Genomic DNA, 24,306 nt, shown 5'->3' with positions numbered 1-24,306 from the left:
GGCAAAGAGAGGGAGCTTGTGCAGGGGAACTCCTCTTTTTAAAACCATCAGGTCTCGTGAGAGTTATTCACTATCATGAAAACAGCATGGGAAAGACTTGCCCTCATGATTCATTACCTCCTACCTGGTCCCTCCCACAACACGTGGGAATTCAAGATGAGATTTGGGTGGGGACACAGACAAACCATATCAGTAACATATCTGATGATCAATTCAAACTGGATGAAAGGGATATCGACTGCCTTCCTCACCTCTCCTTTTTAAAACTCTCATCCTAATGACCTGATACTAATCCTGAATGAGATACATGTTCTATTGCCATCCAGAACAAATTATATAAAAATTGCCCTATATTTGGAAAACATGGTTTATGCCTCAAAAGACAAGTGGCCCTAATTAGTAAAACAATAGTTTAATAATAATTATTTAAAAATCCAAATCATAATTGTGGCAATGTCTTCCAACATTTAATTGATTTCTGTTTAACAGATCTATAGAGCAGTCAACTGAATCATAGAGTTACATGTTGAAATTAGTTTATGTTGGCAGATTAATCAGGAGATTACCAGATTGCTTAAATCTGTATGTTCAATAGACTAAAGTTATTGTCCTTATGCTCTGTCCTTTCACACTTGAAGGTTTAATTAGCCATTTTGTCTTGGATAATAAATTGTGAACCTTAGCTTTATATAAGATAAAGCATTTTATGTCTCCCAATTCTTTTTTATTCAGCCTTGGCTAAAGTTAGAGCTGAAATTAGAGGCCACAGATTACAGTCAGCATTTTACTGAAGAACTTTCAAAGAAGGGAAGTACATTACAAAGCATGTGGCAAACCATTATCGTATATTATAATGATAAGGGTAAAAGCTGAAAAATATTTATGTGTCAGCATGAAGATACTAAGAATGCATGACAATTAGGTTGGAATGAAGGACCTATCAAGCCATATTTATTCTTATTCCATACCTTGTCATATGAAACTGGGTGGTTTGTAAGAAACTCTCTGGTCAGTTACCATGACATAACTAACATATTATTACATAAACTTCAACCTTGAAATTGTTTGCTTAATTGTCTAGGATGTAAAATTAAATTTACTCAGTGTACATTTAAGTAAATTGAATTTGCATTTCTTTACAAAGCAACCCACTTCACTGATCTTGTTAAAATTAACTCAACCAGTATTTTAAAAATCCTTAAGATTCTTTTGGAGTTAGTATAAAACAAATGTTTTCCTCTTTGCATGAATTGCAGTACAAGTAAAATAATGATTATAGCAGACACATAGAGTCTCGACTTTTTAACCACCACATAGAGTCTTGACTTTTTCCATGCTATCTGCCTCTAGGTTGATGGTCAAAGCATATGGATCTGCCATTACTGGCAACATAAAATATCCGCACTCCAGGGTCTTGTTGAAGCCTATGACCTCAAACATTTCACTGCCTAATTCATTTTAAATGCTGTATTTCAAGAATAACATGCTTAAAGGATTGTCAGGATATTTGTCCTCGTCTCAAACTGGGCATTCAGTTTCTACTTTATGAAGAAGGCTCATTAAATAAAATTTTTGGAAGTCTTTGCATTAGGAAAATATATGCCTCTTCTTGATCAATTGGTTACTCTTGATCTCAAAAACACTATAAAATCCTCTGGTTGGCCGATTTGTCACACTGTTCTGGTTTCGTATTTTCCTTCTCTTTAACGTCATACTAGTTTGCCCACTTATTTTTATCTTGTTTTATAGTAAGTGTTTTCTGTGTGCTGCCTGAAATTCCCTGGAGTAACGCAAGTGTAAACATGTAAGAATAAATATATTTCAGACTAGATAAAGGATCAGTGCTTATATGGCCAGAGGAAAAAAATCTCAAATGAATCTATGACAGTAAACAAGTGCTAAGATACCAATAGAACATTTGAAGAGATTTTGAGTCATCGAAGCCAAAAGTATGTGCCCACCAAAACAAGTGCCAAGAATCTTTGAAAGAAGGAACTGTTCTTCAACAATTTTTTCAATGCAGCAAACACATAGGCTTTGTCCATGGAGCATGTAAGTCTGGGCTTACTTATGTTCCCCAAATAAGTGCCCTTTGTGTGTGGAGCACAAGAAAATACATATATGCCCTGTCCTGTTAAGGTGCGAATTTAATTTCTACATTATACAATTATCAACAATAAGGAGTATTGTCAATTACTCCTTATTATACATTATACAATTATCAACAATAAGGAGTATTTTAATTCTCAAGAGCAGAATTAAAAATTGGATGTTCAAAGCCACAAGCCAACATCTCCAACTTGCTCTTTTATGATGTTTCAGTCACTAAATGCAGTGGCTGAGTGTTATCTGGCTTTTCTGTTCAAATTCTCTATGAGGCTCTAGAAATAACTTAGCCAGTATAATGTAACACTGGCAACTTAATTTCTACCTTCAGAGCAAGACTGGAACTGAAACTGCAAAACAGCTTGTGAAATATCAGCCAAATTACTTCCCCGAACTCCTGTTCCATATATGCTGTGCATTGTTAAGTATTTTAAGACCTCTTATATTCGATAACCCCCCTTACTATCCTGTAAAACGCTTTATAAACACTTTCCTGGGTGTCAGATGCAAAATCTTACCCTCTTCAAGCTGCAGATAAGGACACCGAGATGTTGCCAAATATGCTGTTTTGTCCCAGAGCACATACTGAGGAAGTGGTAGAACCAGAACCAGTCTGTGACCCCTTTGTTTTACTTTTGCGGAACTCCTGGTCTCATTAAAGGTGCAATACCAGCGATGAGACACTGCGTGTGCCCAACAGGGACAAAGGTCATTGAGCAGTCCTAGGAATTCAGACTTTCAGAAATGTCTCAGAAGAACTAAGTAGAAGGCAGGTTGTGCAGGTGTGCAGTGCAGCCTCAAACTGGTACCACCGGGATCGGTTTGCAAAACAGGAAGGTGCAGTAGGGTGTGCCGGGACTTAGTTAACCTGGCACTCCCCCACCTCCTTCCCCGGCGCCCCGCTGCCAGGTTACTTCTGGCCCGGTGCCCTTAACGTACCTTTTCCGTGTTTAACTTGGAGGGCTACGTTCCCATCGCCCTTCTTCCTCTACCCGTCACCCTACAGGCCTACCTGACAAATGTGGGGACGGTTTAGCCAAGGCCCGTTGGCCCACGAATGCCCAGGCGTGTGCCTTATTTCTGAGAGTGGGAGGGAGACAGCCCAGGCCCTGCAAGGACGCGCCCGGCTAGGGGGGCGCGGTGGCGCGGTCGGGAGGGTGTTGTGTTCTCAGCAGGCCTCAGGGCGGCACTCTGGTTCTGCGGCCGGAGTGCTCGGGCGGGCCGCTGGGCGCCGACCCATGCTGGCTGGGAACGTGTCTCCCGGTGACGCAGCCCCGGGTGGGGAACGTGGTGCGGCGGCGGCGGCGGCGGCGACTGTACGCGCCTCCGCCGCCCCCGAGAGGACGCGCCGTGCAGCGGCTGAGTGGCGGCGGCGGCGACGGCAAACCCGGAGCTGCCGGCCGGCGCGCGGGAGGAGGACGCGGGTGCGGTCTAGGAAGTAGGTCCCGGGCTCCGCGCTCAACAAAGACGGGGCCGCCCCCATTAGGTACGGAGCCGGCCCTGGGCCCCGGCTGGCGGGGAGGCCTCGTCGGGCAGTTCGCGGGCGGCCGGGGAGGGGGAAGGGCCGCAGACCGAACGGGGATACGGGGCGCCGGGGGCCCTTCCAGGCCCCTTTCTCTTCCACGGCCCCTGGCGGGACGGAAGGGAAGGGGCCGGGCCGCGAGGGCGCGGGCCGCTGGGGGTCGTAGCCTGCGACGCCAACCAGCCTTTGCTCGTCCCTCGTGCAGACGGAGCTGCGGGCGGAGGCTCCATGTTGGGAAGCGGCGCCGTTCGTGCTTGTTAGCGGGAATCCGGGAGCCGCGGGGTGAGCTGGCGGGGGCCGGGCCCTAAGTGAAGATGGAGGCCCCGCTGCGGCCTGCCGCGGACATCCTGAGGCGGAACCCGCAGCAGGACTACGAACTCGTCCAGAGGGTCGGCAGCGGCACCTACGGGGACGTCTATAAGGTAAGTGAGGCTGGCCGTGCTTTTTTCCTGCGGTCGACTGGGTCCCGGGAATGGGGCCACTTTCCTGCGAAGTATTGGGGCGAGAGGAGGATGCTTTTATTGTTGCCTCTTGGGGAGAAAGCGGCCGGGGTCCCTTTTACTCGGTTCTGAGCACCCTCGACTCATGGCTTGTTCTAATCGCTACCAACAGGCAGAACTAACCACACAGTTGCAAACCGCTGTTGCACTTTTTTTGTGGTTTAAAGGCTTTTTAATAGGGCTTATTTATGGTATTGAAGGGAATTTGAATCTGCTTGTGGAATTACACCGAAGGATGCTCTAGTGTTAGCATGGAAAAATGCTTCATGGAAGATAGACAGGAAAGAATATTGACATTCAGACATTTGCATTTTTTTAAAAAAATTTGTTTCAATGGATGAGTTTGACTAAAAAAGCCATATGAAACCCTGTCTCTGAGCTTTAACTGTAAGCAAACTAATATTGGTGACATTTATGCAAGCATTATCCCATATAAAAAGATGCTTTTCCTGGTGGAAGTTTGATCGTTTGTTTTTGGTTGGCGATAAAAATGTGATATTAACTTGCTGGGTTTTGTTTTACTTTAGCGGTTCCTTTCAGGGATTTATAACATCCTATAACCAAGAGTGGATATGAGCCGCTGTCTTTGTATTGTGCTGTTTTGTATTACTTAAGACAAACGATGAGAGTAAGTTACACCTAATTTAGGATTTTAAAAAACATTGTAGAGAAGCAAACCCAATTCCCCAAATCCGCTGAGTTCTTGAATGGTTCAGAGGAAAGAGATTGAGATTGCCTTATGCTTTTTGTTGTGTGTTCCAAAAAGGGAGCATTAGTGCAGCCTATGAATATTAAGGGCAAATTCCTTTGCTTTTTGCAACGGCGTTGTTTATTGGATTTGATCATGATATATATCGCATTGTGCCAAACAACACTTCTGCATATCGCTGAAGTGGTTTTGTGTCATTTGGGTAATTAACCAGTAGATTCCTCTGGGGTTAGGTTGTTGTTTTGCACAGGTGGTTCCCCTCTTTCTACTTACTTTTAATTTCCTCCTAATTAATATTAGCATTTCAAGGTAGTGGTATTATCAAACAGCCCTAGCACTGTTTGATTCTACTGAGATAAACTGTAATGGATAGGCTTTTTATTGCTTAAACAAGCATTTGAGTCTTCTGTACCAGGCACTGGTAGAGGTACTGAGGTGATGAATTGTGAGCAAGGTTCTGGCTCTTACCTTGTGAATACCTTTGAACTCAAAGTGTATGTTTGTAACAATCCTCTTCTTCTTTATGTAAAATTAGAGGTAGTTAACTTAGTTGTTTATCCAGGGATTAGCCATTTTGTGGAATGCTCTTCAGAAAATTGAAATTCCTATTTCCTTTCTCAGTCTCATTTTTTAGTCATCTTTGTCTTATGATTCACTGTGTGTTAGACGAGTTCAATTTAGTTCATGTTAATTTACAATAGTATAAATTCTACTTGTATATATTCTCTTCTCCCTACTACAATAAAGTTTTAGGAGTGTTTTTCCCATAAAGATCTTAAGACCTCCACCCTTTTTCTTCATAGATGTAGTAACTAAAGCAACTCTGGAGCAGGATTTTATTCATGCCTGAGAAAAAGCAAAGATTATATTTAAGGGGCAGCTAATGCCTGCCTTTTACCCTGGTGCCTTCCTGCCCTAGTCTCTCTTCTGCAGTTCCCAAACAGAATCAAAAACCGAATATTCATCATACTCTACCTTCACCCCTTAACACATGGTCCCCTACCCTCACAATGTTGCTTCCTCTACCCTCACAATGTTGCTTCCTCACACTTACATGTATATTCATTGCACACTAGGCCAGCCTCTGATTCTAAACATCCTTAAGGCGTTCTTAGCTCCTTGTCTTTTGTTTTCCTTTGTTCTAATTACTTGGAATCACCTTCCACCCCTCCATTTCCACCTGTTGCTGTAATACCTGTCCATGAAAGCCTTACCCAAATGCTCCTGGGCAAGACAGCCCTTCCCTCTTATTTCTCAGCCTCATCTACCACTCTCCTTAGTCATTCTGCTCTAGTCACACTGGCCTGCTTGCTGCTCCTTAAACATGATAAGCATCTCCCCATCTTTGGGTCCTTGTTCTTGCTATTTCCTCTCTTCGTAATGTCTCCCCTTCACCACCGCCCCCCACTATATGGCTTGCTCCCTTCCTCCTTTTTTTCACATCCTCCCGATCTTTTTTTCCTACTCTATTTTTTGCTTTGTACTTATCACCAACATAATGTTTTACTTATTTTTTTCTTGTTTATTATCTATCTTGATTCACTAAAATACTCCATGATGGCAGGGATTTTAATCTCTTCACTGCTCTGTCTCTGATTATGCCTGCCACAGAGTAAGTACTTCCTAAAAATTTGATGAATGAATGAATGAATGAATATCAGACTCTGTCACTTAGTTCTCTGAGCACATGCTTTTGACATCATAGCACTAAGTTAGCATTTAATACTCTATGTATTCCTGTAATGCCTTCTGTTTGTCTGTTTGTTTGGATACAGGATGTCGCTCTGTCCCCCAGGCTAGAGGGCAGTGGTGTGATCTTGGTTCATTGAAGCCTCAACCTCCCGGGCTGAAGTGATCCTCCCACCTCAGCCCCCCAAGTAGCTGGCACTACAGGTGTGTGCCACCATGTCTGGCTAATTTTTGTATTTTTTTTTAGTAGAGAGGAGGTCTTGCCATGTTTCCCAGTCTGGTCTCGAACTCCTGAGCTTAAATGATCTGCCTGCCTCGGCCTCCCAAAGTATTGAAATTACAGGCATGAGCCACCACATCCGGCCCTGTGATGCTGTCTAATGATACCCTGCGTGTGTATTTTTATTACAAATTTCATCTATTTGAGTTCTCTGGGGAAATATTTCTGAAAAACTATTTTATAGTATATCCACTATCAGTGATCTAAGTCCTATAGAATTTTGTCAGTTTAAATTTACTCCTTAGTATGCCTAAAAACACATAACCTGAAACTGTAGTGCTGAATTTTTTAAGCTCTGGGCAATTAGAGTAATTTTGCTATTTATCACTGTGTTTCTGATGAGCTGAACATCCTAGGACGTTTTAGAAGTATTTTCAATGTAGGATATAAACTAGTGAAATACCTGCAGTAAAGAATAATGAAGGTAAATTAGCCACTGTTCTACTCAGATAATATCCCCCTGTGTTTTTGAGAGATGGTCTTGTGCTTTAGGCTGGAGTCCAGTGGCACGATCAGCTCACTGCAGCCTTGAACTCCTGGGCTTAAGGGATTCTCTCTCCTCAGCCTCCTCAGTAGCTGGGACTACAAGTGTGTGTGGCAACATGCCTGGCTAATTTTTTTTTTTTTTAATGTAAAGACAGGGTCTTCCTGTGTTGCCCAAGCTAGTCTCAAATTCTTGACCCCATGTGATGCTTCTGCCTCAGTCTCCCAAAGGGCTGGGATTAATAGGTGTGAGCCACCAAGCCTGGATTTTTCCCTGCCTTTTTTTTTTTTTTTTTTTTTACACCTTAGGTATCTTTTGAAGCAGAAGCTTTAAAGGACTCTGGCTTTGAGATTCTTCGTAATTTACTTTTATGTTCATCAATACCACAGATCCCCTCTGAAGCTTCCATCTTTCCTGAGAATCCCCAAGAGGGAGAGTTCAATCTTATATTGGCTGTTCTTTGGTTGAAAGAAGAGGAGGAACATAAAGATTCTTTTAGATAAATGGAGTGAATCATTGAGGGCAAGAGCAGGAAATGGTAGAGGGAAAAGAAACACAGAAGAGAAAAGGAATTTGGTGGATGGTGGATGAAGGATTAAATGTCAACTGAGCAGCTTTTATTTGTAATTACTGTAAAAATGTAGATCTGCCAGCAGGAAGGATAAATCTGGAGATTTAGATTCTCAACTACCTCTGACCACAAGGATCTATAACAACTACAGCATCATGATACAGTTCATAATCAGTAGTACAAGCCATTTGGGCAGCCCTTATCCAAATATTTGTATCAAAATTGCTTCCAGCCTAGATTTCAGAGAAGTTCTGGCAATCTGGCTTTTTATTTTTATTTTTATTTATTTATTTATTATTATTATTATTATTATTTTACCTTTCATAGAATATAAATTTAGACTGGGCAATCCTATGAATTTTTTTCTAAGCTTTATTGCTTTATCTGATTGATTATAGAAGAATAACATGTTTAGTTCCCAGGGGACAGAAACAGATGTCTCTTGCACATCTTTGTAATGTAACAAACAAATGCTCAATAAATATTTGTTGAACAAATTAGTTGTAGAAAATTACTCAGAGATAGGTACTGCTAATAATTTAATACAGTTTATTTCAGGCTTATTTCCTAAATGTTTTTAAATCAGTATTTCCAAAATGGCTTTTATATTTAATTTATGATTGGGAATATGATACAGGTCTTTTTTCTGTTTGATTGAAATGACCAGCATTTTCCCTAGTCGTTAAATATTCTACAAAAGTACATTTTTTTTTTTTTTTGGATGACAGGGTCTTGCTCTTTTGCCCAGGCTAGAGTGCAGTGGTGTAATCATACAAAAGTACTTTTTTTTTTGAGACGGAGTCTTGCAGTGTCGCCAGGCTGGAGTGCGGTGGCGCAATCTCAGCTTACTGCAACCTCCTGACTCCCTGGTTCAGGTGATTCTCCTGCCTCAGCCTCCTGAGTAGCTGGGATTACAGGCATGTGCCACCACACTCAGCTAATTTTTGTATTTCTAGTAGAGACGGGGTTTCACCAGGTTGACTAGGATGGTCTCAATCTCCTGACCTCGTGATCTGCCCACCTTGGCCTCCCAAAGTGCTGGAATTACAGGGTGAGCCACCACACCCAGTCAAAAGTACTATTTTTAAAGGATCCGTTGAATGAGCCTTCATTTAGTTAATCATTCTAAGTTGCATATTTGTTATTTCTAGTTTTTAAACTTTTTTTTTTGCAATTATAAATGATGTTATAATTTGCGTAGAAGTCTTTGTCATGTAGTCTTATCACTAACGTGGGTTCCTCTGGATGCTAGATGAATTAGGTCTGCTATGGGGAATCTCCTTTATGTATGCCTTTACTTTCTTTTCCTCCAGCCAAGAGTCACCATTCTGGAATGGCTTTAGGCACTTTGAAACATATCCCAAGATCCCATTTTATAGAGACAAAGCTTAATGTATCATCACACTTCTAGAAGCATTCATTCATTAAAGAAGTATTTGTTGAGTGCTGACAATGTGTTAGGATATGGGGATGCAAACATGAGATGAAGTACACTGTCAATAAGGAACATATGGTTTAGTCAAGAAAACAGACGTGGCCAGGCGCAGTGGCTCACGCCTGTAATCCTAGCACTTTGGGAGGCCAAGGCTGGTGGATCACCTGAGGTCAGCAGTTTGAGACCAGCCTGGCCAACATGGCAAAACCCCATCTCTATTAAAAATACAAAAATTAGCCGGGCATGGTGGCAGGTGCCTATAATCCCAGCTACTTGGGAGAGGCAAGAGAATTGGTTGAACCCGGGGGTCGGAGGTTGCAGTGAGCTGAGATTGCGCCACTTCACTCCAGCCTGGGCAACAAAAGCAAAACTCCATCTCAAAAAAGAAAAAAGAAAGCAGACATGTAAGCAGTCATAATTTGGTAGAAAATTATGTGCCATAGAGGAGAAGTGGAAGAAATGCCAAACTCTGCCTTTATTGGGGATGAAGGAAGGGAGAGAGAGGAGTGTGAACCAAGGAAGATTAACAGAGGAAGGAACATTAACTGGATTTTTAAAAGAAGACCAGTGGTTTCTAGGTAGAGAAGATAGGAAAAGATATTCCAGGCTTTGGGTATAGTATGTGCAAACACCTGGAGGCTTGAGAAGCCGTGATGAGTTTTGAGAGATCTGCATCTGTATTCATTCCAGGTTCAGTGTGACATCTGGCAGAGATGTCATTTCAATTATTTATTTTTATTATTTTATAGATGGAGAATAGAGGCTATTTTCTGGCAGGAAACACCAGCTAATGGACTCCATGTGTCATATCAAAGAATTTGGACCTTTTCAATTATTTATTTTTATTTTTTTGAGACAGGGTCTTACTTTTTCACTTAGGCTGCAGTGTAGTGGCATGATCTCAGCTCACTAGACCCTCCGCCTCCCAGGCTCAAGTGATCCTCCCACTTCAGCCTCCTGAGTAGCTGGGACTGGCACACACTGCCATGCCCAGTTAATTTCTGTATTTTATTTTATTTTTTTGTAAAGGTGGGGTTTCGCCATGTTGCCCAGGCTGGTCTTGAACTCGGAGGCTCAAGCAATCCATCCACCTCTGCCTCCCAAAGTGCTGGGATTTTAGGGTGTGAGTACACTGTGCCCGGACTAGAGAAACACTTTTTAGGAGGAAATATCTTACAGTGTAGTGTAAGGATTTTACAAAGTGGCTAGAAATGTAGAGACCAGTTCCCGAATAATCCGGATGAGAGTTTATGCAAGACTAAATTTAGGCCCTGGTATAGAAGATGAAAGGAAGGGATGGATTTGAGTCATATTTAGAAGATGATCAAAAACACCTGGTAATCGGTGAGGGGCAGGAGGAGAAGGGTAATTGATGGCATTTAGAATTTCTGGCTTGAGTGACTACATTGATGCTATCAACAGAGTTAGGAAATACCAAATATGTGGAGTCTGGATTTTGTGTTTGGTTTTGAACATAAGGCATTGCATAGGTGAATGTGTCTGGTAGGTGGTAGGAAATGCACCTCTGGCCTTGAGAGTTCTGGACTGGGGATACAGGTTTGGGAGTCATCATCACTTTATGGGGTGGTACCTGTGAAATATAGGTGAGGTCACCCAGGAGAGTTTGTAGGAGAGCTGAGGAAAGGCTGTAGCCTTAGAGGGGTGGCAGAGAAAAATAATATATTGAAGGTGTCTGAGAAGAAACAAAGCGGTATGAGGAAGTTCTTTTCATAGGAACGAAAAGTTTCAAGAGATGATCTCTATCATCAGCTGCCTCCATTCTTGTTCCTGTTTGCTCTAACTGCAATGAGGAAGATGAATTCATTCTCCAAAAAATATAAATCTGAAGTTTTGTGTCATTTCTCCTTTATTTCCTTTGTCTGTAGAATAAAGTCTTAGAATAATATTCCTGTTAAGGCCCTGCTTATCCCAATACCGTATCCATACTGAACTTTCAGTTCTTTATATGCACTCTACTCTCTGTCTTTCAGATTTTTGCAGGTATTCCTTTAGAACACTCTTTCTCTTCCATCTTATCGCCTACTCTTTGGGTTTCTGTTTAAACATTACATTTCTCGGTGGGGGGGCTTTTCTGTCCCTTAGAGTAGGTCACACCTAGCAGCTGTATGTTTTCAAAGCTCCATGTACATTTTTTATCATGATACTCATCATTTATCACTTCTCATTTTTGCTTGTCTTCCTGGTAGACTAAAACTGCATGAGAACAGAGATCTTATGTTTACTGTTGAAACACCTGTACTAGTATATTGCCTAGTATATAGTATGTGGTCAATAAATATGCCTTGAAGGAGTAAGCAGCATAGTGGTCATGTAAGCAAGGAGTTGGAAGGGTTCATTAAGAGTAGAGTTGAGGTATGATTGGTAAGTGAGGAAGTAGAGGGAATGTAGCCTGCTCTCTGAAGCAGCTTAGCTATGACAGGAAAGAGAAATGAGGCACACAAATGTTTCTTCTTGTTTCAGGGTTTTACTTTCATCAAGACTGAGTGATTACAGCATTCAGTTACCATTCTTTAAGTTTGTCGTATCACCCAAGTGTCTAAGACGATTGCTGAGTTTAGAGATGGAATTCTACAGAGAAGGAAATCAAGACAAAGAATTTGGGAGGAATTGAGAATTCAGAAAGCAGATAAAAGGAAAAAACATAGGATGGATTTTTAGGGACTAGAGTAGGGGATAAATGTAAAAACCTCCCTCCCTTTCTGATCTGGAGCCTTGTTTGTTTATTTCCAGTCCTAGTTGTTCCACTGCGAGCATGGTTAGAGTGAGGCATGTTAATGAATGGGAGCTGGGATGGAGAACTGGGAGGACAGGATGCAAAGGAGTATTTAACATTCAACAAATACTTATAGAAGGCCTCCTATGGGGCAGACACTGTTGTGGTGCCTTGTGATACATCTAGTGAACAAAGCGGACAAAGATTCCTCCCCTCATGGAACTCAAATTTTAGTGGGGGGAGAGAGACAACAAACATAATAAACACATTGTATAATACGTTACAAGGAGATTAAAGGTATAGAAAGAAGAAAAGGTTGAATGGTTAAGGAGGATCAGGAATGCCTGAATGGAGTGAAGAAGGCAGGTTGGGGAATTATATAAGGATGGTCAGGGTAGGCCTCATTGAAAAGGTTAGATTTGAACAGACTTGAAGGGCATTAGGGAGTTAACCAAGTGGATAACTGGGTAATCAAAGGAAGTCTTAAATCTCTTTCTTATTGAGTCACCGGAACCTGTGTCTGTAGCTGAATTCTAAGCTTAGGGGCAGGCATATTATCTAAGACACAAGCATGGCCATCACCATGCCTTATTGACTGGTGCAGGACCACAGGTCATTGTGATTTTTATTTATTTATGATTTTTTTTTTTGAGACAGAGTTTCGCTCTTGTTGCCCAGGCTGGAGTGCAATGGTGTGATCTCAGCTCACCGCAACCTCCACCTCCCAGGTTCAAGCGATTCTCCTGCCTCAGCCTCCCTAGTAGCTGGGATTACAGGCATGGGCCACCACGCCCGGCTAATTTTGTATTTTTAGTAGAGATGGGATGTCTCCATGTTGGTCAGGCTGGTCTCGAACTCCCGACCTCAGGTGATCCACCCGCCTCAGCCTCCCAAAGTGCTGGGATTACAGGTGTGAGCCACTGCGCCCAGCCCATTGTGATTTTTAATTAAGTTCAGCAGTTGGTTGTAGGTTACCAAGTCTTATGTTATTTTTTTAAGCATGAATTTGTAAGCAAAGAAAATGTAGCTGTTTCTTATGTCTTCTCTCCACCAGTATACTTTGATCTTTAAATATTAAGAGTCTAGTCCAATGCCTAAAAATCTGAAGGTAATAAAAAATAGATGTATGTGATGTTATTTCTCTGACATTTGATATCAAAACATCACCTACTTTCTTATTTTTTGATAGTAACACAGCTGAACTATATGAATATACTGTCCTTTTTGTGTCCTGTGTCTGACATTATGAGAGACTCTTGGTTTTCATATTTGAGTGAGAGAGTGAATAACTTGGAAAAATAGCTTAACAGTAGAAAATAAGAGAGGAAGGATTGTCCTTCAAAAACTTTAAATTATATTTCTTATTAAATAAATGTTATGTTAAATGTTGTATAAGGTCACTGCGAAAATAAAACATGTTTTATTGGGATGATGTGCTACTGTTGTGGATATTTACTATTTTAAAAGTCATCTGGGTAAAATCTTATTATTTATTTTTCTTACTGTTCAGAGGTAGGCTTATTTTGTGACTGCCTAAAGAGAAAATATGGTTCTAATGATGAATGTGAAGCTCTGAACCATACCTGGGAGCAAAATACATGTTATGAAAACTGTAAAAGAAGTAAAAAGTACTTTCAACTTGGTGAAGATAGACATAAAACAGTGCCGTCACTAGTGCAAGTATAGCAATGCATCACTAGTGTAGTCCCCAGATTGACTTGTGGATACAGCTGCAACCTTGGGCTTATTCATCTAGTATTCTAGTTCTTTGTTTACATAGGTTTAGCATTTTCACTTTGATCTTCATTTCCAGTGTATTTTATGAAGACAAATGGGATAGAATACAGATTGACTTAGATTTCTTTTTTTAGTTTTGCTTTCAAAATTTAAAAGGGTTTCACTTGTAAACTAACATTGTGGTTTCAGACCAAGAACACAGAAAGAAAAACATGAACTCTATTAACAAGCAATACTTGTGTTTTTGGGGCTTTGTTGTCAGTTTGAGAACTTTGACTAAGATAAATGAATTCACTTGGTGGTATTGGACTATTTTGAGTATTTGTATATGGAGAGTTTTATTAGAAGGCTATTGCTTTCCAGTGACGTGAAGTACTAGTCAAGTTTGAGAGGGTAGATGACTCTCTGAGAAGGACAAGATGAATTTAGGCCTAATATAATTTTATTTCTGTTAAATATAATCTCTCATGGAGATTTTGAGATGATGATGTGGGAAGCCCAGCTGATAGTCAGATCTGTCCTTGGAGGTGTTTGGGCTAGTGAGTCATACTGGCCCCCGCCTTCCAACATATTTATGAAAATGAAATTGGATTAAAATGACTAAGAATGACTAATGTTTGTATAACACTCTCATGATCAGTGTGTGATTTGTTTCACACGATAATCTAGTGAAGTAGGTGGAACAGATGTGCTATCATCCCTATTTTACCCAAGAAGAAACTTACTGTTACCCTCAATCTTACTGTTAGTAGATGGCACTGTAAGGACTTGAATCTAGATCTTCTGATTCCAGTCTCTGCTCTTTCCATTATTCCAAGCCACCTTAGGACTGCATCTTTAAATTCACTACTCTACACATAGTCCTTAACACATTGTCTGCCATGCTGTAGGCACTATACATATTATGGTCAGATGAGGCTTAGAAGCCTTACCCCTCTACTGAGAAATGAGGGATTTATGGACTGATTTCAATACGTAAAACTTTAGGTCTCAGCACCAGTTTTCAGATGCACTTCTTCCTGGTTATCACTTGGTCATTACTCTGACCCTCATGTTTCCATTCAGAGCCCAGGCTTGATTTACCTTTACTATCAAAATGACTTTGCCCGGGTGTGGTGGCTCACACCTATAATCCCAGCACTTTGGAAGGCCAAGGTGGGTGGATCACCTGAGGTCAGGAGTTTGAGACCAGCCTGGCCAACATGTTGAAACCCTGTCTACGAAAAATACAAAAATTAGCTGGGTGTGGTGGTGGAAGCCTGTATTCCCAACTACTTGGGAGGCTGGAAGTGGGAGAATCACTTGAACTGGGAGGTGGAGGTTGCGGTGGGCAAAGATCGCGCCACTGCACTCCAGCCTGGGCAACAAGAGTGAAACTCCATCTCAAAAAAAAAAAAAAAAAAAGATGACTTTGCCGATAGCCACCTTACAATACAAATAACTAAAACCAGAAACGGTCCCGTTTTTGGTTGCTGCATATTCTTCCTGCTGTGCCTTCTCTTGTCCTCATTTTGTTGGAACTTTATATTTATGTTTATTGTTAATTAACTGAGTCCTATAAACTAGGCTCTGTAATGCTGTTATAAATTATAAAATGTGAATGATTTCAGGCAGATAGAATAACCTGCCTTAAGTAGCATTAGCTAGTTTTGTTTGCTTCTTTCTGATTTAGGATAATTAGGACTGCCTGAGAAGGATTGTGACTTCCAGCTTTGTCTTTTTTTGAGACAGAGTCTTGCTCTGTCGCCCAGGCTGGAATGCAGTGCCATGATCTCGGCTCACTACTACCTTCGCCTCCCGGGTTCAAGCAATTCTTCTGCCACAGCCTCCTGAGTAGATGGGACTACAGGCGCACGCTGCCATGCCCGACTAATTTCTTTTTTATTTTAGTAGAGATGGGGTTTCACCATGTTGCCCAGGCTGGTCTTGAACTACCGACCTCAGGTGATGTGTCCACCTTGGCCTCCTAAAGTGCTAGGATTACAGGCGTGAGCCACCACGCCCGGCCAAATTTTTGTATTTTTAATAGAGACAGGGTTTCACTATGTTGGCCAAGCTGGTCTTGAGCTCCTGACCTCGTGATCCACCCGCCTCGGCCTCCCAAAGTCCTAGGATTACAGGTGTGAGCCACCACGCCCAGCCCCAGCTTTGTCTTATGAAATAATGTGTTATTTCTCACATGCATGCATCCCTTTGTTGGTGCCCCGTGCCTTCTTGACCCCCTTATTAACTCTTCATGTATCCAAATCAGAAAGAATCAGGTGTAACTTAATATATTTTTAAAGACATCTTTTAAGGAACTAGTTTTGCATTTTCAGCTTTGGTTCTTCATTGTAATACATGCTAGAGATGTTTGGGTCCTTTACCAGTTTTTTCCAGGAATTGTTTCCTGTTATTCTTAATGTAGTAGTAAAGATCTACAGGTAGGACTCACCTTCCTATATGTTTGTCTCTCTCTTCTTGCCTTGGCATAGATAGCCTTCTTTTACCTACCTTTTTATTTTCAAAATACATTTTAAGTGATACATGTTCATTTTTTATTTTTATTTTTATTTATTTTATTTATTTTTTGAGATGGAGTCTCACTTTGTCGCCCAGGCTGGAGTACAGTGGCACAATCTCGACTCATTACAACCTCCGCCTCCCAGGTTCAAGCAATTCTCCTGCTTCAGTCTCCCGAGTAGCTGGGACTACAGGTGCGTGCCACCACACTTGACTAATTTTTGTATTTTTATAGAGACAGGGTTTCACCGTGTTGGCCAGGCTTGTCTCAAACTCCTGACCTCAGGTGATCTGCCCTTCTTGACCTCCCGAAGTGCTGGGATTACAGGCATGAGCCACTGTACCTGGTGATACATGTTCATTTTTAAAACTATATAGGAATGAAAAATTACTTGTGTCTCCTTTACCAAGAGATAAACATTCCCAACTTTTAAAAATTCATATTAAGGACATACGTATAAATCATAGAATAGATATGTATAATAATATACAGTATATATTATATAGATGTATATTTGATAACGTGCTTTTAAATTTAACAATATATAACAACTTTTTGTCAGTAAATATACATATTTAATACTTGTGTATTATTTTCTTGTATAGTTATATAATTTTTAGTTCATTATATACAAACATACAAGCAATTGTCTCCAATATTTCTTTATTGTAAATAATGCTGGGATCAGTATCCTTGAACAGATTTTTTTCACACAATCTTAATTATTTCTTTAAATAAATTTCTAGAGCTAAATTTCCTAAATTGTCTTAAAGGTTTTGGTGAATTTTAACCAATTATTCTCCAAAAAAATTTGCACCCATCAACAATGACTGAGAGTTCACATCTTCCCTACCCTGAAACTCAAGCCCTTTCCTCCCTTTCCTTTGCCATTAAGACCTCCAGATAATTAGTTCAATTTAAGTAATCCTCTGTAAGTAATTCTTCTTTTAATAAAATCAGTCTGTGTTAGAAAAGAGTTGGGAGAAACCTTTTCAGAGACAGATGAGTATCCTAATAGATTGGGCGGAAGACCTGAGATTGAAGTCATGTGAACAGATTTTGGGTCATTCTAAGGGAAGGCTTTAGGCTCTGAATCTGTCTGCCTGGGAGTGGGGAAATTGTGCAGTATAGCCTCCTTCCATGGGATAGGAAGCACCTGTCCAGACCTGTATAATTGTGTGGAAGCCAGCCTGGAAGTAACTTGCTCCACAAAAATTAAGGAGTTTTGCACCGCATGTTCTCGCTTATAAGTGGGAGTTGAACAGTGAGAACACAGGGACACAGGGAGGGGAATAATACACACTAGGGCTTGTTGGTGGTGGGGGGTGAGGAGAAGTAACTTAGAGGACAGGTCGATAGGTGCAGCAAACCACCATGGCACACATATACCTATGTAACAAACCTGCACATTCTTCTGCACATGTATCCTGTAACTTAAAGTAAAAATAAAAAAAAAATTAATGAGTTTAGGAGCTAGCAGGGAACCTGTGGCTGGCACATAGTGCATATAACCCCTACCTTGTCCTTTACAAATGGTCATTTATAACTTCTTATTTAAATAATAAGGATATACTGTGTTTGGAAGTAGTTGGTCTTTTTTTTGGACGTTTTAATTGCTAGAGAAAACTTTCTTATATGGATCTAAAATCTGCCCCATTGAAACTCAGGGCAGGTACAGATATTTTTATTCATCTTAGTAATTCCTTGCTGTTACTCTACTAATATTATCCTTGTATCTGAGGTACCTGATGCTTCAGAGGTGCTCAGTGAATAAATGTTAAATTGATGTATGACTAATATATGTAGTGATTAAAGCCTTTCTTTTTCCCAAAATGATTTATAATAAAAGTAAAATGAAGCACTTTCTTTACTCTTGTCAGAGGATAAAATATTGCATTCTGTTTTGGATCGAACACTTTCAACGTTTATTTTTTGTTTTATTTTTTGAGACGGAGTTTCACTGTCGCCCAGGCTGGAGTGCAGTGGCGGTATCTTGGCTTACTGCAACCACTGCAACCTCCGCCTCCCGGGTTGAAGCAATTCTCCTGCCACAGCCTCCTGCGTAGCTGGAACTACAGGTGCCCACCCATCATGCCCTGCTAATTTTTGTATTTTTAGTAGAGACAGGATTTCACCATGTTGACCAGGATGGTCTTGAACTCCCGACCTCAAGTTATCCACCCACCTCGGCCTCCCAAAGTGCTGAGATTACAAGTGTAAGCCACCATGCCCAGCCTCAACATTTATTTTTAAAACTTAAAAATATTGTAGGCTGGGCGCGGTGGCTCATTCCTGTAATCCCAGCACTTTGGGAGGCCGAGGTGAGCGAATCACCTGAGGTCAGGAGTTCGAGACCAGCCTGGCCAACATGGTGAAACCCCGTCTCCACTAAAAATACAAAAATTAGCTGGGCGTGGTGGCACGTGCCTGTACTCCCAGCTACTCTAGGGCCTGAGGCAGGAGAATTGCTTCAACCCAGGAGGCAGAAGTTGCAGTGGGCGGAGATCACGCCACTGCACTCCAGCCTGGGTGACAGAGTGAGACTCTGTCTTAAAAAAAAAAAAAAAAAGTATTGTAATTTTGTAGAAACCTGAAAAAAAGAAATGTTGCCTTTGTTGTCATGAATCTAATGTTATAACTACTATCATTTTTGTTGGACATCAAACTTTGAGCACATAATCAAAGTAAATAATAACTAGACTGGTGGGAAGGGTCTAGAATTTATATGGCATGGCATATTGAAAAATTTGTGTTTTGTCTGTAGGTAGAAGCAAACTTATATTTTTATCTGAGCAGAGTTAGAATTAGAGCTTAGGCCTCCTGACTTTCATAGGGACTCAATACTTATTGAATAAATTAATGAATTTAGAGATCTGAATTTGTCATATAGTAGAAGGAGTAGGTTAAGTCAGTGTTATCTTACAAACCAAAACTGGGACCACTGAAGAGAAATTATTGGAGAATATATTTGCTTATCGCAGAAAAGCCTTTATACAACTACAGTTATACTAAAAATGAATGTATTAGACCACCATAGATTAAGTAGAAGAGATGTGCTCTTTAAAAGAGAGATTGGATTGGATGACTTTAAAAAAATTCCTGCAAACTGAGATTCCAGAGAATAGTGTCTCTGTAATAGTTTCATTTTAACTTTGTCTATTTTCACTATTCCATAAGTGTGGCTAATTTTTTAGGATTCTGTTCTTGATCCTCTTTTCTTCTGACTACTTATTCTAAGTAATCTCATCCACCTGCCTGCGTTCAGTAATGTTGGTGATGCCCAACTCTGTTTTCAGTCCAGGTTAGCTCTTGTTAAGCAGCTTATAGGATATCACTAGATTGGTTTTCCATAGCAAGTTAAAATTTTAAGTATGTCCAAAACTGAGCCCCCATCTGTATCCCTCTCCCCGCCACAGAATGTGTGCTTCCTCCTATGTTTGTCATCTCAGTAAATGGGACCACTGTCTACCCAATTGTGCAATCCAGAACAGGAATTATTCTTGACTTGCTATTTCTTTATGTTTCACAGATAGTTTACCAGTTCCTAATGGAGACAAGCTTGGATTACAGTATGGCACTGGAAATAGAAGAAAGTGTGTGGATTTGGCTTATAAGTTTAAGCTGTCAGGATTTGCTGATATGTCAGATGTGAAGAGTGTGAAGGAAAGAAATAAAGAATGACCTGGATTTTGGGCTTAAGTGAGTGTGGTGGATACGGTAAATTTGATTTAGATTAGGAAGATGTGGGAATGAAAAAGTTTGTGGGAGAGGGATAATCGAGTGTTCTGTGTTAGACACATTAATGTTAAGGTGCCTGTCAGGTTTCCATGGATGTAGGAGTCTGGAGCAAAGTGAGGAGAGAGATGTGCCCTAGAAATAGATGGTTGGCTGCATAGGTGAATGTTAGATAAAGAAAAGATGCAGTTCCATGATCAGTTAGGATAGGTGAGAGAAGAGGGGTTAACAAAGAGGCTGAGGGATCATTGAAAGTTTGAAGCAAGAGGAGTGGAATAGTTCTTATAAAAAGTGGAAAATAAAACCTATACAAGAAGTTGTAGTTTGGGATTTGTGTTGATTTGAAAGTAAGACCAGTTAGCATGATTTTGTCATTTTTTTTCTAGTAACTGTTAGCTATTTGATGCCAGTGTGGGATTAGTGGATAATTGGAATTAATCAAGATTAGGATTTTGCCAGGCTAGTACAATAGAGGGAAGAGGAAGTTTAATCCTGATAGGTAAGGGAGGATGTATGGAGTTGAGAGAAATAATTGGTGGTCATGGAGAAATGCATTGGCAAATTGATGAGGTGGGAGAATGGCTGGAATGGGAGGACTAGAATAAGTGAGCTGAAAGGATAGGAGATAGTGATTAGAAAGGAAGTATAATGTTAATTAGGTCAGAGAATGAAAAGTCAGAGTAGTTCCGGATATTGAAGTCACTAAGAGTGGTGGAGGCAAGAGAAAGGATAGAGAGGAAACTGTGAACCAGGGGTCATAAAATCTTAAAAGAATAAGGATGACTGGCTAGGCACAATGGCTCACGCCTGTAATCCCAGCACTTTGGGAGGCCAAGGCGGGCAGATCACAAGGTCAGGAGATCGAGACCATCCTGGCCAACATGGTGAAACCTCGTCTGTACTAAAAATACAAAAATTAGCCTAGCGTGGCGGCGAGTGCCTGTAGTCCCAGCTACTCGGGAGGCTGAAGCGAGAGAATTACTTGAACCTGGGAGGCAGAGGCTGCAGTGAGCCAAGATTACGCCACTGTACTCCAGCCTGGGCGACAGAGCGAGACTCCATCTCAAAAAAAAAAAAAAGAATAAGGATGACCAAGAAGTTAGTATATGATAGCTACAGGAAGATAGGCGGTGATACATTCTGTCCTGAGCATCAAAGGAATCTTAACTTTCACCATTCCCTCTTTATATCTTTATATTCCCTTAATGCAAGGTAGTTTTGCTCTTTTAGACTGCCCATGTTTTCTCTTGTCTTTACACCTTTGCCTGGAATTTTGCTATCCATAATCTCTTACCCACCACTCCTCCCAGGAAAGTCTTCTATTAGGTCTCAGTTTAAATTTACTTTCTCCTGGAAGCTTTTTCTTCAATCTAGTTTGACTGGGCTCAGAATCCTCCAATGTTGACTTGTGTCATCTATGAGAGCATTTTTCACACTCTGTAGTATTTACTCTTCCCTTTTCTGTCTTTCTAACTGATAAAAGTTTTCGGAAGACAGGAACTGTTTTTGTTTCATTACATTCCTAGTATTAACACCGTACCTGGCACATAGTAAGTATTAAGTAATGTTTGTTGAATAAATGAACCAGTTAAAAACAGTGTTTCAGCCGGGACTAGTGGCTCACGCCTGTAATCCCAGCACTTTGGGAGGATGAGGTGGGTAGATTACTTGAGGTAAGGAATTTGAGACCATCCTGGCCAATGTGGTGATACCCTCTCTCTACTAAAAATACAAAAAAAAAAATTAGCCAGGCCTGGTGGTGCCTGCCTTAGTCCCGGCTACTCAGGAGGCTGAGGCACGAGAATTGCTTGAGCCTGGGAGGTGGAGGCTGCAGTGAGCTGAGATCACACCACTGTGCTCCAGCCTGGGTGACAGAGCAAGACTCGGCCTCAAAAAAACAAAAACAAAACAAAACAATAACAGAGAAAGCAATGTTCCATAAAGTATTGAGTATAGAGGTTTTACAGCCTATGACATAGTTGACTTTTCACTTTTATTGTGGATTAATCAGCTACTTTGTATTTTTCAAACCTTATGGGTGCTGCGTTGCTTCTTTTGTATTGTAGATCATGTTCTTAAATCTGGAATACATAATTATGACTCTGAGAAGCAGTCACTGGCCACTGGAGATAGCTTGTTAAAAATATTGAGATGTCTGGATTTTCTGATGTTATGTTATAGAATAAAGGGGCATATTTAAAACTGAAGTCCACAGTTGGCTTAATGGAAAAGTTTTGTGACCCTAAGAATGTGCTGGGAGAAAGTTGTCTGGGGTAGGATGAGAGACCCAATGTGAAGAACAGAGAAATACAGGAGCTTTTTCATTTTTCTTCATGGTGATGGTCTTGGTTGCCATAGCTTTTAGATGGCTGTCCTTACTTGCTGGTTTTTTTTTTTTTAGCCCCAGTTTATAAAAAATTATCTTTCAACTTCATGAATACTAGGATGTATTACTATGTATTGATTCGTGTCTTCCAATTCTGTGTTGAAACCTTGTAGGTAAAATGTTTAGACTTTTCTTCATTAACTTTTAGTTTTCATTAAAAATTTTACAGTATGTAGAAGAGTTCATAGTTTACAAAACTGGCAATTGCATAATATTACTGAAGTAGAAATGGCTTAATTAACATCTTTCAATTTTTTTTGTTTGTTTAAGTGGAAATCCATAGGTAACTTTTTACTATTAGTAAGATTGAAGACTGGAGGGCTTGAGTTGAAATACTTCCTTAGTAGTAAATTGACTTGGAAATATGAATTAAGAGATGAAAAGGAATTGCATTAGCAATGCGAATAGAAAATTAATTTAATTGGAATGATTCTATTGTGGATTTTATAGTGATATTGATTCCATTCATTATGAGTTTATCTTTTCCACATAATAATTTCAGTTCCTGATTAATAAGAGTTAAATAAGACCTGTAACTGTACTGTTTTATTAGATTTCTAGGTGTTTAGTATATCTTAAGTCTGAGTATTAGTGTATACCAAAACCCTACTAACATGAATAGGAATCAGAAATATAGTTAGATCTTTTTTGTGTAGTTGCCGTTGTACTCCAGTTAGTTCCTTTTATAAACATAATGCAGGATCTTTCAATTCTTGTGTATTAAAGTTAAAAACAAAAAGAATTGAGAGTATCACATTTAACTTGTTGGAAAGAAATGGTGGATTTCAAAAACTGGTACTCCAAAACTCTTTTGGATTATAGCGCGAATTTGTATAGTTAAATTTCTGAAAGATCTCTTTAGTAAATTGAATCTGTAAGGTCTCTGTTTAGAAGATCTCTTTTTCTGAAAGCCTCTTTGCCTTTCATTATAAAAGAGCCTGGTACTGCTCTCTGTTTTAAAAATCCAGCTGGAAAATTACAGAGCACAAACATTTGCCCATCGGTTCTTCATTTGGAGAAAACAGAAATATGTCTTCAAAATGGAGGCTGACATTTAAGTATTTATTCCTATCAGCGGGAGCTGTAGTTTGTATTTTTTGCATTTTACTTCTGTAACCACATATAATATATCTTGGCTTCTGCGTGGTGTAACTGTAAAACACCATCTTTATTTTATGTCATTTTGTGATTGTTGTTCAAATCCTCCAATGATCTGTTTCTGAGCCCCTCAGAATCTCTAAAAAAATCAAGGTATCCTTCCTTTTCTTTTTGGCTCTATTAAATTGAAACATAAATGGTTGATTCTAATAATAAAAATTGGCTCATAAATGTGTCTGAAAATGTGTATTCTTTTCAAAAATAATTTATCTTTAAATTAATAGACAATTTTTTAGTGCAGTTTTAGATTTACAGAGTAATAAAGCACATAGTACATAGAATTACATTTAGCCAACCCCTGAATTCCTGTATAGTTTTGTCTTTTATTAACATCTTGCGTTAGTGTGGTACATTTGTTATAATTATTGAACCAATATTGATATATTATTAACTATAGTTCATAGTTTACCTAAAGATTCACATTTTGTGTTGTATAGTTCTATGGGTTTTGACAAATATGTAATGAGATGTGTCTATCATTACCATTTCATACAGAATACTTTCACTCTCCTAAAAATCCCCTGTGCTTCACCTATTTGTCTCTTTCCTTCCTCCCCTAAACCCCAGACAACCATTGCTTTTTACTGTCTCTGTAGTTTTGCCTTTTTCGGAATGTCATAGAGTTGGAATCATACACTTTGTAAGCCTTCTTAGACTGGCTTCTTTCACTTAACAATATGCATTTAGGATTCTTCCGTATCTTTTTGTGGTTTCCATTTCTTCTATTATTAAATTTAATTTAAAAAAATTGACAGTT

At 40.0% G+C, this 24,306-nt stretch overlaps 2 protein-coding genes and 1 long non-coding RNA gene across 16 annotated transcripts in view, besides 3 other annotated features; 2 read left to right on the top strand and 1 right to left on the bottom strand.

The window, feature by feature from the left end:
• ATL1 (atlastin GTPase 1) overlaps positions 1–2,910 on the bottom strand; it is a 99,987-nt gene extending 97,077 nt beyond the window's left edge. For both annotated transcript variants that reach the window (XM_047431430.1, NM_001127713.1), the window contains exon 1: positions 2,625–2,910. The gene's annotated coding sequence lies outside the window, so the exon portion shown is untranslated. The remainder of the gene's footprint in view (positions 1–2,624) is intronic.
• MAP4K5 (mitogen-activated protein kinase kinase kinase kinase 5) overlaps positions 1–24,306 on the top strand; it is a 142,606-nt gene that overhangs the window by 25,135 nt on the left and 93,165 nt on the right. For 4 of the 13 annotated variants that reach the window (XM_047430895.1, NM_198794.4, XM_047430894.1 and 1 more), the window contains exons 1-2: positions 3,423–3,592; positions 3,834–4,050. The exons of 1 other annotated variant lie outside the window; for it this stretch is intronic. In XM_047430895.1, coding sequence (XP_047286851.1) covers positions 3,943–4,050 — 108 coding nt within the window. In that variant the 5' untranslated portion in view covers positions 3,423–3,592; positions 3,834–3,942. Of the gene's footprint in view, positions 1–3,422; positions 3,593–3,833; positions 4,051–24,306 lie in introns of those variants that run through there. 8 more of the 13 variants (XM_047430896.1, XM_006720013.5, XM_047430891.1 and 5 more) reach the window with 3 other exon arrangements.
• Positions 3,100–3,729: a silencer, noted in NCBI's record as "silent region_5723". NCBI's record gives its function as "represses an Ori minimal core promoter by ATAC-STARR-seq in GM12878 lymphoblastoid cells {active_cell/tissue: GM12878}" and the evidence as "EXISTENCE:reporter gene assay evidence [ECO:0000049][PMID:35858748]".
• Positions 14,037–14,086: an enhancer, noted in NCBI's record as "active region_8359". NCBI's record gives its function as "activates an Ori minimal core promoter by ATAC-STARR-seq in GM12878 lymphoblastoid cells {active_cell/tissue: GM12878}" and the evidence as "EXISTENCE:reporter gene assay evidence [ECO:0000049][PMID:35858748]".
• Positions 14,213–14,272: an enhancer, noted in NCBI's record as "active region_8358". NCBI's record gives its function as "activates an Ori minimal core promoter by ATAC-STARR-seq in GM12878 lymphoblastoid cells {active_cell/tissue: GM12878}" and the evidence as "EXISTENCE:reporter gene assay evidence [ECO:0000049][PMID:35858748]".
• Positions 16,423–23,720, top strand: LOC124903312 (uncharacterized). The gene is made up of 2 exons (XR_007064160.1): positions 16,423–16,463; positions 19,800–23,720. It is a non-coding gene; the product is annotated as an uncharacterized LOC124903312 (long non-coding RNA).

Source organism: Homo sapiens, chromosome 14 (genome assembly GCF_000001405.40).
Source record: "Homo sapiens chromosome 14, GRCh38.p14 Primary Assembly".
NCBI lineage: Eukaryota > Metazoa > Chordata > Mammalia > Primates > Hominidae > Homo > Homo sapiens.
The sequence above is the reverse complement of the archived record's forward strand: the minus strand, read 5'-3'. Positions and strand labels throughout refer to the sequence as shown.